Source organism: Homo sapiens, chromosome 7, assembly GCF_000001405.40.
Source record: "Homo sapiens chromosome 7, GRCh38.p14 Primary Assembly".
Lineage (NCBI taxonomy): Eukaryota > Metazoa > Chordata > Mammalia > Primates > Hominidae > Homo > Homo sapiens.
The window spans coordinates 75216437-75234946 of NC_000007.14; the positions used below are offsets into that span (position 1 = coordinate 75216437).

At 50.4% G+C, this 18510-nt stretch overlaps 1 long non-coding RNA gene and 1 pseudogene across 3 annotated transcripts in view; one reads left to right on the top strand and one right to left on the bottom strand.

Moving 5' to 3' along the window:
- GTF2IP1 (general transcription factor IIi pseudogene 1) overlaps positions 1 to 18510 on the bottom strand; it is a 52323-nt pseudogene that overhangs the window by 31054 nt on the left and 2759 nt on the right. Inside the window, exon 2 of the transcript NR_002206.3 lies at positions 718 to 828. The product of NR_002206.3 is annotated as a general transcription factor IIi pseudogene 1 (transcript). The remainder of the gene's footprint in view (positions 1 to 717; positions 829 to 18510) is intronic.
- LOC107986710 (uncharacterized) lies at positions 734 to 18049 on the top strand. Of its 2 annotated transcripts, none has more exons than XR_001744948.3 (3): positions 734 to 909; positions 9007 to 9304; positions 15941 to 18049. It is a non-coding gene; the product is annotated as an uncharacterized LOC107986710 (long non-coding RNA). The 2 variants fall into 2 exon arrangements; XR_001744949.2 differs by lacking the exon at positions 15941 to 18049 and adding an exon at positions 9580 to 9623.

The window sequence follows — 18510 nt, forward strand, 5'->3', positions numbered from 1 at the left end:
CCCAGCTACTCAGGAGGCTGAGGCAGAAGAATCACTTGAACCCGGGAGGCGGAGGTTGCTGTGAGCTGAGATCGTGCCTCTGCACTCCAACCTGGGTGACAGAGCAAGACTCTGTCTCAAAAAAATAATAATAAAAATTAAAAATAAAGAACAAAAACATATTTAAAAAGTACAAAAATTCAATTCATATCCAATCATTGTGACTATGACACAGTAGAATATTAAAGTACTATTTTCAAGATGTATACAAGCTCAATATTCCATTTATTCAAAATATGAATCATCAACATAATTTGCCGCTAATATCTCATTCAGTCCCTTGCTAGGATACATCATCCATTGAGAGCTCACAGATTAGCAGCTGCAGTAACACAGAGCAAAAAAAAAAAAAAAGAAAACCAAGAGGTGAAATAGTTCTGAAATAAAGATTTTAAAGCTAAGAGAAATAACTAAATTACTAAGTCTTTAGCACTAATCTTGAGCTGACTAATTAACATCAGACAAGACAATGTCCTATGCTTTGGTAAATCCAAACTATGTTTAAACAATGTCTGTAATGTAATTTTCAAAATGCTCCTGGCTTTCCAAAGATGAGATTATGATGCAGTAATAGACGCTAAAGCATTTTCCCCCTGCAGAGCATGTTGCAACATTTATCAGTCACACTGAGAATCCAGAAGATGAAGGAAAAGGTCACGTCGTTCGCTGAGAACTTACCGAAGTTGAACTCCCTCACTTTCCGCTTCCCAGCATTGGCGGGTTCCGGGACTGGTGGCTGCGGTAGCTCATTGGCCTTTGGTCTCTTAGACGGTGGAGAATAATCATCATCTTGAAAAAGAAAATGGTCATTACTGGAAGAACCATCTTACAGTTACAGTCACCTCCTGGTCAATTCCCAACATTCAAAAGGTGAGCAGGGCTTTAAAGCTATTTTGAGTATCAATAGTTATTTCTGTATTGTGAGCTTTAGCAGGCTTTTTCCTTGTTACATTTGAAATTTTATTTGTTTGGGATGTGTTCAAGTGAATACTGCTTTTTCCTCTGTCTTTCTTCATTATTTTTTAGTTTGCTTCATTTGAATTGTCATTATAAATTTCCCCTTCTCAAATAACTTTCAAATTGCCAAGAACTATATTGTTTTAAGACTTTCAAGAAAAAACTTTTAATAAAGACAGCCACCTAAAGTTATAAAAGGGGATAGAGTACAGCTTAGATGGAAAAGATATTTAAGCTTATACAAAATTTAAGCATGCATAAGCAAGGGAAATTGGGTAAATAGTTTTTTTTTGTTTTTTTGTTTTTGTTTTTGTTTTTGAGACAGAGAATTGTTCTGTTGCCCAGGCTGGAGTTCAGTGATGCAATCTTGGCTCACTGCAACCTCTACCTCCTAGGCTCAAGCAATCCTCCCACCTCAGCCTCCTGAGTAGTTGGGATCACAGGCAGGTGCCCAGGCAACTCTCCCAGGCAACCATGGTTGGCAGGTCCCAATTTCTACTGAGATCACCCCACGTAGGTCACATGGCGAGGGTCCCACACCCCAGCCTCACCACTTCCAACGAGCCAAACGCTTCCCATTTCCAGCCCGACGATGGTACTAACTTCCCTGCCCCTCCTTGGAGATCCCCAACCCCAAATAACCTCTCCTGATCTCCAGGGTCTCTTGGTGACAATACCTGCCTGCCTGCCTTAGCTAAGGGGGTCAGTTGCTTCTATCAGTCTCAATGCCCCAGAAACTGAGCGAAAACCCAAGTATTCATGGCCTACTGAACGCAAAGTCTGAGTCTGACCCTGGTATTCTATTCCTTGGTTTTTAGAATGCCCCCAGACAAAGATGAGGGCTGAAGGCTCAGAAAGGCCGGGTCAGGCCAGGTGAGGTGGCTCACGTCTGAAATCACAGCACTTTTGGAGGCCGAGGCAGGAGGATCGTTTGAGGCCAGGAGTTTGAGGCCAGCCTGGGCAACAAAGTGAAACCCTGTCTCTACAAAATATTGTAAAAATTAGCCAGGTGTGGTGGCACACACCTGCGGCCCCAGCTATTCAGGAGGCTGAGGCGGGAGGATCCCTTGAGTCCAGGAGCTGCAGTGAGCTATGATTTTGCCACTGAACTCTGGCCTGGGTGACCGAGCGAGACCCTGTCTTCAAAAGAAAACAAGAAAGGTAGGGTGACCTGCCTGGGAATATGTGGTAGGAACAGCAGAGTGGAGAGAGAGCGCTTGATAAGGTGTCTTGTTGGGAGACATTCCCCACACCATGGTGCCATGGGAATCACATAAGCAGGTCAAGTGTGCCTCACTCAAGCACTCAGGAACCAAGCTTGCAGAGGGGGTCAGGGCAGGAAATGCACACGACTCACAGCCAACCCCACACTCTGGACCTGGGGCACCTGCTAAGCACTTTCTCTGTAAGATCTCACTTCAACCTCCCGTGAACAGCCCTATAACGTGGGTGCTATCACCTTCTTCATTCTTCTACAGAAACTGACAAACGCAGTTAAACCAGGCTAATTTGGACTGACGGGCTGGGTGGGGACGTCATCAGAGAGAAGCTGCAGGAGGGAAATTGTAGACTAGAACAAAGTCTGAAGAGGGTGGAGAAAAGCACAGATTAAAAAAAAAAAAAGAAGAAAGAAAGAAATGTGGCCGGGCATAGTGGCTCACGCCTGTAATCCCAGCACTTTGGGAGGCTGAGGCAGGTTGATCACCCAAGGTCAGGAGTTTGAGACCAGCCTGGCCAACATGGCGAAACCCTGTCTCTACTAAAAACGCCAAAATTAGCTGAGTGTGGTGGTGCACACCTGTAATCCCAGCTACTCGGGAGGCTGAGGCAGGAGAATCGCTCAAACCCAGGAGTCAAGAGTTTGCAGTGAGCTGAGATTGCGCCACTGCACTCCAGCCTGGGCGGCAGGGTGAGACTCTGTCCCCGCCACCAAAAAAAAAAAAAAAAAATGCATTTTACTGCCTGCAAGCTCGAGTTCTCCCTCCAGCACCCTACCCACCAGGGCTCCTCAGAGGCCTGGCTTGAGGAATGGATACGGTAGCCTTGTCATCTGCAGGTGACACCAGGCCTGCAGCTTGTTCTCTGAGGTGTCACCCCCTTATTCTTTTTTTTTTTGAGACAGAGTCTCACTCTGTTGCCCAGGCTGGAGTGCAGTGGTGTGATCTCTGCTCACTGCAACCTCCGCTTCCCGGGTTCAAGCAATTCTCCTGCCTCAGCCTCCCGAGTAGCTGGGACTACAGGCATGCACCACCACACCCGGCTAATTTTGTATTTTTAGTAGAGACAGGGTTTTACCATATTAGCCAGGCTGGTCTTGAACTCCTGACTTTGTGATCCGCCTGCCTCAGCCTCCCAAAGTGCTGGGATTACAGGCGTGAGCCACCACGCCCAGCCCATACACCCCCTCATTCTTGACTGTGCTGCTCTAGTGGACGAAACAGCCCCAAAGCATTGCTCAGTTGGGAGGGGGTGGAGGGAGTCCAGCCTGGGTGTGTGCAAAGGAGTCACCCAGGAAATTCGCCGCGGGATCTGCCCTTACAGATGCACTCGCCTGGGGCCAAGCCCTCGGTGGCTGGGGCAGGTTACCCAGAGGCCCAGGGGCCAAATGCAGGAGCAAGTTCCCATCAGGAAAGGGGAAGAGTGAAGCAGAGATCCAGCTCCTGCATGCAGGGGAGTGGGCACGGGCAACCCCTTACCCCAGGGTCGTTCCCCAGCCTCACCTCTAAGGCAATGAAGGAGGGTAGAGTCTGAGGGCGCCCCTGACACCTCCACCTGTCCCCATCCCCTATCAGCGTTCCACATTCCAGTGCAGGCCCAAAATTCTAACCCCAAAGAAGAAGTGTGGTGGGGTATGCTTCTTCCCACTTTTTTTTTTTTTTCTTGAGACTGGGTCTCACTTTGTCAACCAGGCTGGAGTGCAATGGTGTGAGCATAGCTCACTGCAGCCTCCAACTCCTGGGCTCCAGTGATCCTCCTGTCTCAGCCTCCAGAGTAGCTGGGGCTACAGGTGTGCACTACCACGTCTGGCTAATTTTTAAAATTTCTTGTAGAGACGGGGTCTGGCTATGTTGCCCCAAATGGTCTTGAATTCCTGGCCTCAAGCGATCCTCTTGCCTCCACCTCCCAAAGTGCTGGGATTATAGGCGTGAGCCACCGCACCGGGCCTTGATTTCACATTTGAACTCTCCCACATTAAAAAAAAAATTATTAAAAAAAAAATAGGCCCGGCATGGTAGCTCATACTTGTAATCCCAGCACCTTAGGAGGCCAAGGTAGGAGAATTGTCTGAGCCCAGGAGTTCAAGACCAGCCTGGGGAACATGGTAAAACCCCAACAGGATGGATTTGATTCCTATACAAATTGAAGCTGCCCTGCCAAGGAGGGCCTGCCTGGAGGGGATGAGACCTTCGTCCTGAGGCCTCAGGGTCAGGGGATCAGGAGTCGGGGAGCTAGAATAGAAGCACACAGCCTGGGCACGGTGGCTCACGCCTGTAATCCCAGCACTTTGGGAGGCCGAGGCGGGTGGATCACCTGAGGTTAGGAGTTCGAGACCAGCCTGGCCAACATGGTGAAACCCTGACTCTACTGAAAATATAAAAATTAGCCAGGCATGGTGGTGTACCCCTGTAGTCCCAGGGAGGACTGAGGCAGGAGAATCACTTGAACACGGGAGGCGGAGGTTGCAGTGAGCCAAGATTGCGCCATTGCACTCCAGCAGCCGGGATGACAGAGCAAGACTCTGTCTCAAAAAAAAAGAAAAAGAGGACAAGACATGGCGGTCAGCGTGCAGAGGAGGTGCGACTGGAGAAAGACTGGGGGTCACGTGGGCAGGACCTGGGTGGGCTGGGTGGGAGGGGGGCTGGATGTGGTGCTGTGCACCAGGGAGGGGACACAGAAGCAGGGGGCAGTCTGGGAGGAAGACTTGCAAGCACCATATGGGGACACAGTAGACACCCAGAGTGTCCAGGCACCCTGCAGGCAGAGCTGGTGTGCAGGGCAGAGAAGGGTGCCCAAGACATTGCTGGGAGCAGAGAAGTCACACCTTCCTCAAGGCCGGCTGGAGGACGCAACGGCTCTTTGTGTTCCAAGAAGCAGCTCTTACCAGGGGGCTGCCTGCCTGGCCCCCAGAGTTTCTCCAGTCTCCTTACTATAGACCCCTCCCCTCCTGCCAGCCTCCCGCATCCCCACAGCTCAGCCAATCTGAAACAAATAAACAGCTTCCCTTCCTCCAATAAAAACCAGCCATCCTGCAATTGTCAGATGTGCCCTTCCAGTGCTTCCAAAGCAGAACAGACCATCCGTGCCATGGGGACAGAGGCCACCACTGCCACCTCGCCGAGGCTTGCATCAAGTAGAGGGCACCTCAAAACATCCATTGAATTTCTGTGAATAATAGGTTCACTATGTAATCAACACCTCACTAAGTCCCTAACATAAAATTCCCCATTTAATTCTCACAACCACCCAAGATGTTGATAGTGTTATCTCCAGTTATTTTTTGGTAGAGATGGGGTCTCACTATGCTGTCCAGGCTGATCTCAAACTCCTGAGCTCAGGCAATCCTCCCGCTTCGACCTGCCAAAGTGATGGGATTACAAGTGTGAGCCACCATGCTTCACCTTATCCCTATTTTAAAGATGAAACCAGGCCACGGTGTGGTGGCTTACGCCTATAATTCTACCACGTTGGAAGGTCAAGGCAGGAGAATTGTCTGAGCTCAAGAGTTTGAGACTGGCCTGGGCAACATAGTAAGACCCTGTTGCTACTAAAAATCTTTTTTAAAAATTAGCTGGGCATGACGGTGCACACCTGTAGTCCCAGCTACTTGGAAGGCTGAGGCAGGAGGATTGCTTATGCCTGGAAGGTTGAGGCTGCAGTGAGCTATGCTCATGCCACTGCACTCTAGCATAGATAACAGAGCCAGCCCCTCCTTGGAGGTTCTAAGTTGCCCAAGATCACATGGCTGGTGGGTTGTGGGAATTTGGATAAAAACACATTTTCCTGTTATGTGCATATCCTGAGAAATGACCCTTGGCATAAGCTTTTCCATCTTGGGTTAACAGTGGAAAGGAGTGGAGGGCATAGGCGGCGAGGAGTTCGGAGTGGGGGGGCCAAGGCTGACCCCCAAACTGCTGTTGTCCACTGTGTGACTTGGGGGCAGACAGCTCCTTCCTGTAGAGCTGCTATGAGGGTGAATGATGGGAACTCCCAGCGGAGGCCTCATGCATAGTGGGTGTTCAAGAAGGATCTGCCATGGCCGGGAGCAGCGGCTCACGCGTATGATCTCAGCCCTTTGGGAGGCCGAGGCAGGCGAATCACCTGAGGTCAGGAGTTTGAGACCAGCCTGGCCTACATGGTGAAACCCCATCTCTACTAAAAAATACAAAAATTAGCTGGGTGTGGTGGCACATGCCTGTAGTCCCAGCTACTCGGGAGGCTGAGGCAGGAGGATCACTTGAACCCAGGTGGCAGAGGCTGTACTGAGCCGAGATTGCACTGCACTCCAGCCTGGGCAATAGAGTAAGACTCCGTCTCAAAAAAAAAAAAAATATGGGAACATCAGACACTGGGGATTCCAATAGAGGGGAGGTTGGGAAGGGGAGGAAGGTTAAAAAAATTACTTATCGGGTACAATGTTCACTATTTGGGTAATGGGCGTACTAGAGGCCCAGTCCCTACCAGTATGCCATATATCCATGTAACAAACATCCACATGTACCTCTTAAATCTAAAATAAAATAAAATCTTAAACATTAATTTTTATTTTTATTTTTTTGAGACAAGGTCTGGCTCTACTGCCTGGCTGGAGTACAGTGGCACAATCTCGGCTCACTGCAGCCTCTACCTCCCGGGGTCAAGCGATCCTTCCACCTCAGCCTCCTGAGTAGCTAAGACCACAGGTGCACGCCACTAAGCCCAGCTACATTTTGTATATTTTGTAGAGATGAGGTTTCACCATGTTGCCCAGGCTGGTCTCCGACTTGTGAGCTCAACCAATCTACTCACCTCAGCCTCCCAAAGTGCTGGGATTACAGGCATGAGCCACCACACCTGGCCTCAAATTTTATTAATTGTGGTAAAATACACACAACAAAACCTACCATCTTAACTATCTTTAAGTGTGCAATTCAATCGTGTTAAGCACATTTTCAATACGGACAGCAATTGCCACCATCCATCTCTAGAACTCTTCATCTTACCCAACAGGAACTCCATACCCACTAAACACCAACTCCCCAGCTCTTGGCAACCACCATTCTTTCTGTCTCTATGACTCCGGCTACACCAGGTATTTCATACAAGTGGGATCTCATGCAGTATTTGTTCTTTTGTGACTAGTTTATTTCACTCAGCATGATGTCTTCAAGGTTCATTCATGTTGTAGCATGTGTCAGAATTTCCTTCCTTTTCCCCCCTGAATAATATTCCTTTGTGTGAATACATCCCACTTTGTTGATCTGTTCATCCATCAGTAGACACCTGGGTCACTTCCATCTTTAGGCCTTAGTGAATAAGGTTGCTGTAAATGTGGGTGCATGGCCAGGCGCGGTGGCTCATGCCTGTTATCCCAGCACTCTGGGAGGCCGAGGCTGGTGGATCACTTGAGGTCAGGAGTTCAAGACCAGCCTGGGCAACATGATGAAACCCCGTCTCTACTAAAAATGCAAAAATTAGCCAGGCGTGGTGGCGTGCACCTGTAATCCCAGCTACTCGGGAGGCTGAGGGACCAGAATTGCTTGAACCCAGGAGATGGAAGTTGCAATGAGCCAAGATCGCACCATTGCACTCCAGCCTGGGTGACAGCAAGACCCTGTCTCCAAAAAAAAAAAAAAAATTGGGGTGTGCAAGCAAAACCTCAGGCTTTTAAGCAGAGATGCAGAGATCTAGCTCAGAGGTTGGAGTATGTTCAATGTGTTATGGTGAGGGCAAGCCTGAGAATATGGCACCTAGACACCAGTTTTCCATTTAGGCCAGGCGCTGTAGCTCACACCTGTAATCCCAGCACTTTGGAAGGCTGAGGCAGGAGGATTACTTGGGCCCGGGAGTTCGAGACCAGCCTGGGCAACATAGCGAGACCCCATCTCTACAAAAAAAACAAAAATTATCTGGGTGTAGTGGCGAGTGCTTGCAGTCCCAGCTACTCAGTGGGGCTGAGGCAGGGAGGATTGCTGGAGCCTGAGAAATCGAGGCTGGAGTGAGCTGAGATTGCATCACTGCACTCCAGCTTGGGTGACACAGTGAGACCCTGTCTCAAGAATTTTTTTCAGGCCAGGTGCGGTGGCTCATGCCTGTAATCCTAGCACTTCGGGAAGCTGAGGCGGGTAGATCACAAGGTCAGGAGATCGAGACCATCCTGGCTCACACAGTGAAACTCTGTCTCTACTAAAAATACAAAAAAATTAGCCAGGCGTGGTGGCAGGTGCCTGTAGTCCCAGCTACTCGGGAGGCTGAGGCAGGAGAATGGCGTGAACCCGGGAGGCAGAGTTTGCAGTGAGCCAAGATCTCACCACTCCACTCCAGCCTGGGTGACAGAGCCAGACTCCATCTCAAAAAAAAAATGCTTTTCAAAAAGTTTCAATTTAGCACCGTAGATGGCCCACAGGGACCTTGGACACCCAGAATCCCACTGGCCCAGAACGGATGCAACTGGGCTGGTTTTTCATACTGCAGATCTGTTATAAGAGAAAACCTTTCCAGCCGTGTGCAGGCTCAGAAGAGAGACCAATTAAACCTTTTACAAGGTGTTTTTTTGTTTTTTTTTTTGAGATGGAGTTTCACTCTTGTCACCCAGGCTGGAGTGTAGTGGCACGATTTCGGCTCACTGCAACCTCTGCCTTCCAGGTTCAAGCGATTCTCCTGCCTCAGCCTCCCCAGTAGCTGGGATTACAGGCGCCCACCACCACATCGGCTAATTTTTGTATTTTTGGTAGAGTCAGGGCTTCACCTTGTTGGCCGGGCTGGTCTCGAACTACTGACCTCAGGCGATGTACCCGCTTGGCCCTCCCACAGGTGCTGGGATTACAGGCGTGAGCCACTGCGCCCAGCTACAACTGACTTTTTTGATCCCTGGGAGATGAGTCAACACCAAGGGACGACCAGTCCTAAGCCCTGGACATGGACCTGGGGGTGAGGACAGAAGGGGATCAGGACCAGCCCTCTCATCCTGCACACTGAGGCATGGGTGATCCCAGGAAGCCACTCACCAGGCACCAGGGTGGCTTCCTGGAGGAGAGGATGCTGAAGCCGACCTCAAGAAGTGTCTGTGTTAGGTTTAAGGACTCACAAGACTTCTCTGGCTGGACTAAAGGTAGGGTGATCACATGGTCAGGTTTGCCCTATTGTCTGCAGGTTGTTGTTGTTATTATTGTGATGATGGTGATGAGGAGGAGGAGGAGGAGGAGGAGGAGGAGGAGGAGACAGGGTCTCATTATGTTGTCCAGGCTGGAGTACAGTGGTGCAATCTCGGCTCACTGCAACCTCTACCTCCTAGGCTCAAGCAATCCTCCCACCTCAGCCTCCTGAGTAGTTGGGATCACAGGCAGGCGCCATCATGCCTAGCTAATTTTTCTGTATTTTTTGCAGAGTCGGGGTCCCACCATGTTGCCTCCGCTGGTCTCCAATTCCTGAGCTCAAGCGATCAGCCTGAAGTGCTGGGATTACAGGCGTGCTGGGATTACAGGCGTGAGCCACTGTGCTTGGCCAATCTAGTAATTATTTAAAGTACTTCCTGCTATTCTAAAAAAAGTTTATTCCCATCTCAATGATAAATGGCAGGGTCATTTCATTCCTTATCTGTTGCTACATAACAAATTACCCCAGATCTTAGTGGCTTGAAACAACAACAAACTTTTATTATCTCTCACAGTTCCTATGGGTTAGGAATTTAGGTGTGGCTGAACTTGGCAGTTCAAGGCATTGGCTGGGGCTGCAATCCATTGGAAGGCTTGCCTGGGGCGGAAGGATCTGTTTTCAAAGCCCCGAGCTGCCGGTTGGGGGTGGGATGCCTCAGTTCCTCTCCATATGGGCCTCTCCATGGGGCTGCTTGGGTGTCTTCAGGCCTTGGGGGTTGGTTTCCTACAGAGCAAGGGATCTGGGAGAGAGGGAGCACCACGCAGAAGCCATCCTTTCGTGCCCTAGCCTCGGAAGTCTCATGGTATTGCTTTTACCATCTCCTAGTGACTTAGAAGAAAGTAGCCAAGACAGACATTTAAAGGAGACGGGGGTGGAGGGATCCCAGGTTTTTTTTTTTTTTTTTTGACATGGAGTCTGGCTCTGTCGCCCAGGCTGGAATGCAGTGGCGCGATCTCGGCTTCACGCCATTCTCCTGCCTCAGCCTCCTGAGTAGCTGGGAATACAGGCGCCCGCCACCACGCCTGGCTAATTTTTCTATTTTTAGTAGAGACGGGGTTTCACCGTGTTAGCCAGGATGGTCTCGATCTCCTGACCTTGTGATCCGCCCGCCTCGGTCTCCCAAAGTGCTGGGATTACAGGCGTGAGCCACTGCGCCCAGCCAATCCTAGCTTTTAAAACCACCAGCAGCTGGGAGCAGTGGCTCATGCCTGTAATCCCAGCACTTTGGGAAACCAAGACGGGAGGATCACTTAAGGTCAGGAGTTTGAGACCGGCATGGACAACAGAGTGAGACCCCCTCTGTACAAAAAATCTAAAAACTACCACGGTTGGCCAGGCGCAGTGCTCATGCCTGTAATCCCAGCACGTTGGGAGGCCAAGGCGCGCAGATCACTTGAGGTCAGGAGTTCAAGACCAGCCTGTCCAACCTGGGAAAACCCATCTAAATTAAAAATACAAAAAATTAGCTGAGCATGGTGGTGGTACCTGTAACCCCAGCTACTCAGGAGGCTGAGGCAGGAGCATCACTTCAACCCAGGAGGCAGAGGTTGCAGTGAGCCGAGATCGTGCCACTGCACTCCATCCTGGGCAACAGAGTGTAACTCCATCTCCAAAAACAAAAGCAAAACAAAACAAAACAAAACTACCATGGTTACCTAAAACAGGGCATGTGTTGGGAAGGGAGTAGACAGAGCCAGAGTGGATAGACAGAAGACATCTGATCAAGAAAGATTCAGGCCGGGAGTGGTGGCTCACGCCTGTAATCCCAGCACTTTGGAAGGCCAAGGTGGGTGGATCACCTGAGGTCAGGAGTTCGAGACCACCCTGGCCAACAAGGCAAAACCCCGTCTCTATTAAAATACACAAAATTAGCCAGGCATGGTGGTGCACGCCTGTAATCCCAGCTACTCAGGAGGCTGAGGCACAAGAGTCACTTGAACCCAGGAAGCAGAGGTTGCAGTGAGCTGAGATCACGCCATTGCATTCCCGCTTGGGTGACAGAGTGAGACCCTGTCTCAAAAAACAAACAAAACCAACAAGGCAGAGATGTGGCCAGGGCTTCTGAAGGAATGCATGAAGTCCACCCAGCACCCACTCCAGTTGTGTCCCTCCATCCTCCCAGACTACCCCCTGCCCCTGCACTCCCAGCCATGCCCCCTGTGTGGGCCTCTGGTCCTCTCACCCTCTACCTTTGCTGGAGAACATACAGGACTCACGTCTTTTCCTCCCATGGGACAGAAACTCCTTTCGCGCTTCCTATCAGGCCCTGCCTACCGCAGGTATACACTGCGGGGTTTCTCAGTGAACAGAGCATACCAATTTGCACCCGCCACAGGACAGTGGCTTGTTCCCTGCAGACAACTTACTCTTTCAGCCTCCAGGCGTTTGCTCCTCCAGCCCAGAGGGATGGGGCAGCAATGAGCATTTGAGCCGCCCTAGAAGCAGGAGGCAGGAGGCAGGAAGATATCTGGATAGTTCAGGAAAGAGATGAGGAAAAAGGAAAAAGGCATAGGAAAAAGATTTGGGAGCTAGGGTTGAGCCAGCCCCTTTCTCTGGGCAGCAGCAGACTATGGCTGTCCTGAGTGGGCACACGCAAGGCTCTGGGGCTCACCCCGTACCCTCTTCACCTATACCCCTCCCCTGATCCATCTGTAGCCACCCACTCCTGTTCCCTGCTTGCTCATCTTGCTTTAACCCCAGCACCTCCTGACATTTTCTCATGCCAGCCATCACCCCATTCTTGGCTCAGATGGTGCTGCCTCCTCTAGGAAGCCTTACTGGCTTGCAGCTCTGTGGTCCTAGAGCATTTTGGCTGCCCCTGCCAGAGGCCTGACACCTAAATGACAGGTGAGGTCCTTGGCTTAATTCTGCGAGAGCAGTGACAGCATCTCCACTTTCCAGAATCAGGATGCGATTATGTGTGTGTGTAGTCTTCTAAGCCTGGGCTTTTCTGGCTCTGCCCTCACAAACTGGTGCTGGCCAGTGGACCCAGGGCCTTCCCAGTTAATGCTTAATGGCTGGGTACAGTGGCTCACACTTGTAATCCAGCACTTTTGGAGTTCCAGGTGTCTTTATTAAAAATACAAAAATTAGCCAGGCATGGTGGTAGAGACCTGTAATCCCAGCTACTTGGGAGACTAAAGCAGGAGAATCGCTTGAACCTGGGAGACAGAGGTTGCAGTGAGCTGAGATCATGCCACTGCACTCCAGCCGGGGCAACAGAGCAAGACTCTGTCTCAAAAAAAAAAAAAAAAAAAAAAGCTTACTGGAGCTTCTAGTGGACCAGATACTCTTGAGAGTGCTTGACGTGGTTTATCTCATCAAGCCCTCACAACCACTTACGTTACAGGCATGATCATCATCTCTGTTTTACAGGTAAGAAACATAGCACAGAGAGGTCAAGCAACTTGCCCAAGGTCACACAGCCAGGATGAGCAGTGCTGGGATTCCAGCCCAGGTGTCCCAGGGCTCTAACTCCCTTGGGATAGCCTGTCTTTCCCTAAACTGCAATTAGACAGTGGCCTCAGCCCAATGTGTTGCGAGGAATGAGGGCTCTGCATGGACTTTTTGCAATTTTAAGCTTTTCTCTCATAAATACCTCGTAAGACGTTAGTGTTCACTGGCCGGGCATGGTGGCTCACGCCTCCCAGCACTTTGGGAGGCCCAGACGGGCAGATCACAAGGTCAGGAGTTCGAGACCAGCCTGACCAACATGGTGAAACCCCGTCTCTACTAAAAATACAAAAATTAGCTGGGTGTGGTGGCATGCGCCTGTAATCCCAGCTACTCGGAAGGCTGAGGCAGGAGAATTGCTTGAACCTGGGAGGGGAAGGTTGCAGTGAGCCGAGATTGCGCCATTGCACTCCAGGCTGGGCGACAGAGCAAGACTCTGTCTCAAAAACAAACAAACAAAAAAAAAAAAACAAAAGACTTTAGTGTTCACCATGGCTCGTTTGCAAGATTTCCTGCATGTAGGAACACGAATGACCCAGTGCAGGCCAAAACAAACCAGAGACCTGCATTCAGCAGATCCGGCCCAGGAAGGCAGCAGGAAGTTTCCATGGGCCCATGCTTACTGCATACTTGCCTGTGTAGTTTTTGCCAATCCAATGGACTTTCTAGAATGGAATTTAAAGATAACAGCATTTCATGGGCAAAAAGGAGAGTGCTGCTTGGCTGAGCATGGTGGCTCACACCTGTAATCTCAGCACTTTGGGGAGGCCAAGGCAGGTGGAGCGTCTGAGGTCAGGAGTTCGAGACCAGCCTGGCCAACATGTTGAAACCCCATCTCTACTAAAAATACAAAAATTAGCCAGGCATGGTAGCTCACACCTGTAATCCTAGCACTTTGGGAGGCCGAGGTGAGAGGATTGCTTGAGGCCAGGAGTTCAAGACCAGTCTGGACAACACAGTGAGACCTTGTCTCTACTAAAAACAGAGTAAAATAAATTAACCAGGTGTGGTGCTGCATGCCTGTAGTCCCAGCTATTCGGGCGGCTGAGGCAGGAGGATACCTTGAGCCCAGGAATTTGAGGCTGCAGTGAGCTATGATGGTGCCACTGCACTCCAGCCTGGGCAATAGAGCTTGTCTCCAAAATAAATAAATAAAGAGATGTCTCCATAATAATATTAATAAAAAAACAGAGGGGACTCTGGGAGTAGGTTCAGGTTCCAGAGGGGTTGGGGTAAGCCAGGCAGATGGGGCACACCGGGATCCCACCTAGATCTGGGGTCACACAGCGGTCTGTGCACAGTAATCTCTCTGCCCCTCACACCTAAGTCAGCCTCCAGGCCTGTCCCAGGTAGGTCAGCTACGGGACTGAGTGCCTCAGTCCTACTGTGCACATGGCCATTGCCCACAGCTTCTGGGTCCCCCACCTCCCTGTGGCGGAGAGCATCCATCCGGATGGCAGGCCCCACCTTGAGTGGTGAATCCTGATTGGTCCATGATGGTCTCATTCCCTGTGCCTGTGATAGGCTGAGGCATGTTCATGTGACCCAGTTCTGACCAATGAGATGAGGAAGTCTGTGCTGGGATAGGGGTACCCCCAGAAAGGTTAGCTCCTTCCTTCATGGAGTTTCCTCCTGACTGCCCAGGATGCCCGGAGCCACCCCAGCCATCACAGTGGGGCTATGCTTCTGTGCCATGGGTAGCCAAGCATAAATTGATGACCTCATCAAGCCTTTAAGTTATCCAAGCCTGGGGCAGCCCAACCCATAAACTCTGATCACACAAAGTTCAAACTTCTTATTGGTTATGTCCTGGCTTTCTGTTGTTTGTAGCTCAAAGCATCCTTGCTGGCTGGGCGCAGTGGTTCACGCCTGTTATCTCAGCACTCTCGGAGGCCAAGGAGGGAGGATTACCTGAGGTCAGGAGTTCGAGACCAGCCTGAGTAACACGGCTAAACCCCGTCTCTACTAAAAATACAAAATTAGCCGGGCATGGTGGTGGGTGCCTGTAATCCTAGCTACTCCAGAGGCTGAGGCAGGAGAATTGCTTGAACCAGGGAGGCGGAGGTTGCAGTGAGCCGAGATTGTACCACTATACTCCAGCCTGGGCGACCAAGTGAGACTCCATCTCAAACAAACAAACAAAAACCACAAAGCATCCTTGTTGATAGCCCCTGGTTACATTTCTTCTTCTTTTTTTATTATTTTTCAGAGACAGGGTCTCTGTCGCTCAGGCTGGAGTGCAGTGGCACCATCATAGCTCACTGCAGCCTCAAATTCCCGGGCTCAAGTGATCCTCCCACCCAAACCTCCTGAGACAGGTGTGCACCGCCATGCCTGGCTATTTTTTAAAAAGTTATTTTAAAAAATTTTTTTTTGTGGAGATGGGGTCTTGCTTTGTTGCCCAGGCTGGTCTCAACCTCCTAGCTTCAAGGGATCCTCCAACCTCAGCCTCCCAAAATGCTGGGATTATAGGCAGGAGCCACTGGGTCTGGCCTTATCGTTTTGAGTTAAGCCCGTCCTACCAGAAGAAGAGTGAGCCCAACGTGCCCTCAGGGAAGCTGAAATGGAATCTAGAAGGATGCACGGGGAAGAAAGGGGTAAGGCAAGAAGTAATACTCTGGGCAGAAAGAACAAAGGCCTGAAGGCTGGAGGCACGCTAGGGTGTGGCTGGAAGCTTCGAGGTGAGGCTGGAGAGACAAGGTGAGGTGGGCCACAGAGGGCCCTCAGCTAGGTCACAGAGCCTCAGGGTTACCACAGAGGACAAGGGAAGCTCATCGGACAGACCTACCCAGGGTCTTGCCTTCTGGCTTTATGCTGAGAATAAGTAAGCACATTCCTCGCCTAGTCCAGCCACACCCAGATGCTCCTCCAAAGGTCCTGGGCAGAGGCCTGGTTCAGCAGACCCGGGACAGGGTCGCTGGGCTCTGCTTCTAGCAGGTGTGATCCTGCCTTCTACAACGACATATCTTCCAGCCCCAGGGCACTCCTATGAGACTCTGGCAAATACTTGGGTTGAAATCTGGGTCACTCTGATGGTCAGAAATCCATCAAACAGACGTTTACTAAGTGCCTACAAAGCAGGGTGCTACACGCAGCGGAGACGGGACCTAGTTCAAATCCCAATTCTGTTTCTTTCCAGCTGTGCGACCTTGCCATTGTACTTCTCCAAAGCTAGTGTCTTCACCGCTCTGCAAAATATGGCAAAGTCAACGGTAGCTCTCATCACCACTGGTAGGTACTGTGGTGATGTGGTGGGAAGGGGTGGATCAAATCATGCACAAAAAACTTGAAGGTTGATAATCTAGGTAAGAGAAAAAGACAAGCCAATAACATGTTGTTATCGGCAAAAGTTGAGAAATACGCAAGGTGCCCGGAAGAAAGTATCTGAGATAGGCTCTAAGGCTCTAACGAAGTAGAATGTCTAAGCAGGTCGCGGTGGCTCTCGCCTGTAATCCCAGCATTTTGGGAGGCCGAGGTGGGTGGATCACTTGAGGTCAGGAGTTCGACACCAGCCTGGCAAACATGGCGAAACCCAGTCTTTACTAAACATACAAAAATTTACCGGGCGTGGTGGCGCACGCCTGTGATCCCAGCTTCTTGGGGTGGAGGTTGCAGGGAGCTGAGAACACACCACTGCACTCCAGCCTGGGTGACAGAGCAAGACTCCGTTTCAAAAAAAAAAGGAAGTAACCGTCTAGATGGGAGTGATAAGGACCAAGTATCCCTGGGAGAAGAAAACAGCTCTGGTAGCAGATCACTCAAGCCCGGGAGGTGTAGGCTGCAGTGAGCCGTGATCACGCCACTGCACTCCGGCCTGGGTGACAGAAGAAGACCCTATCTCCAAAAAAAAAAAAAAAAAAAGAAAAGGCCCACCAAAGCCAAATAGGCAGGAATACAGAAAGGCCAGCATTTCAGTTCTGTGCTCCTAAGCCTTTCAGAACACTGTGCTGTAGACAGAAGGGCTGGACATAACCATTCAATGGGGGCATCTCTTGCAACCTGCAATAGCAAAATCTCAGAGCTTGTGCCAGAAAGGTGCAGATTGGCACATTTAAATCCCGGATCTATCACTTCTTGCCTGACCTTGAGCAAGTCACTTAATCTTTGAACCCCAGCTTCCTGGTTTGCAAAGCAGGTTTAATACCTAATACACAGAACGTACCTGGGGGTCCTGGGGTCTAGATCCTCTCTTCCAACTAGTTAACTCCAAATGTGAGCCACTGGCTTTCCTACTTCAAAAGCCCTAAGGGCCAATGGCTCATGCCTGTAAGCTCATGCCTGTAACAGTTTAAATGTTATGTCCGCACGCACCTCTGACAGGCTGAGGTGGGAGGATCATGTGAGGCCAGGAGTTCAAGGCCAGCCCGGGCAACACAGTGAGACCCCCATCGCTACAAGAAATTTAAAAATTAGCTGAGTGTGGTGGTGCGCACCCGCAGTCCCAGGTGCTTGGGAGGCCGAGGTGAGAGGATTGCTTGAGCCTAGGAGTTCGAGGCTGCAGTGAGCTATGATGGTGCCACTGTACTTCAGCCTGGGCAACAGAGACCCCATCTCTTAAAAACAAACAAAAAAAAGCTCTAAGATCTAGTGCCACCTCCTACAGGTAGGCACCCGGCGTTCTAGGTACCCTGCTAGACCAGCCCTTCCCTGACTCCACCCTGCTGTAGAATGATGGCCTCTTTCTTTCTCTTCCACCAGGCTCTAGGGCTTGGCAGAGGAAGGGGCAAGGTATCTCTGCATCCCTTGGACCCAGCCACACCCCAACACAGAGTGAATGTTTCCTAATGCCATTCCCTTTCCACAACTCCACTCCACGAGAGAGAAGTGACTTAAGCCTGCTAAGGAGCGGAGGGAAAAGTTCAGGAAGGTTTCAGCATGCTATCATTAGCGCTATCATTAGCTCTTGAGGACTGAATAGGAATTTACTAGGGGTGGGTGGGGGAGAATATTCCAGGCAAATGGAAGAGAGGTAGATACAAAGGCACAGAGGTATGTAGGGAACAATAAGGGAAATTGTGTATTTGCTGGGGGAGGGCTAAAGATGAGGATTCAAGGCCAGGAGCAGTAATCCCAGGACTTTGGGAGGTCGAGGTGGGAGGATTGCTTGAGCCCAGGAGTTGGAGGCTGTATTGATCTATGATGGCGCCACTGTACTCCAGCCTGTACGACAGAGCAAGACTCTGTCTCTAAAAGAGAAAAATAAAAAATAAAAAAAATAAAGATGAGGATTCAGGATCTAGATCCCAAAGGGCCTCGAATGCCATGTCAATGATTTGATGCTATAGAGTGACTGACAAAACTGTAAACGGGCCGGGCGCGGTGGCTCACGCCTGTAATCCCAGCACTTTGGGAGGTCGAGGCCAGTGGATCACCTGAGGTCGGGAGTTCAAGACCAGCCTGACCAACATGGAGAAGCCCCGTCTCCACACCAAATTAGCCAGGTGTGGTGGCGCATGCCTGTAATCCCAGCTACTCGGGAGGCTGAGGCAGGAGAATCACTTGAACCCAGGAGGTGGAGGCTGCAGTGAGCCGAGATGGCGCCATTGCACTCCAGCCCGGACAAGAGCAAAACTCAGTCTCAAAAAAAAAAAAAAAAAAAAAAGTAAACAGGTGGCACAGGGACCCTCAGGGCATGCTGTGCTAGTCTGGGCTAAACTTAGGTTTTGGAGAGGGAGGTGACAGAGCTATGGGTCACCACCTAGGGGCAGG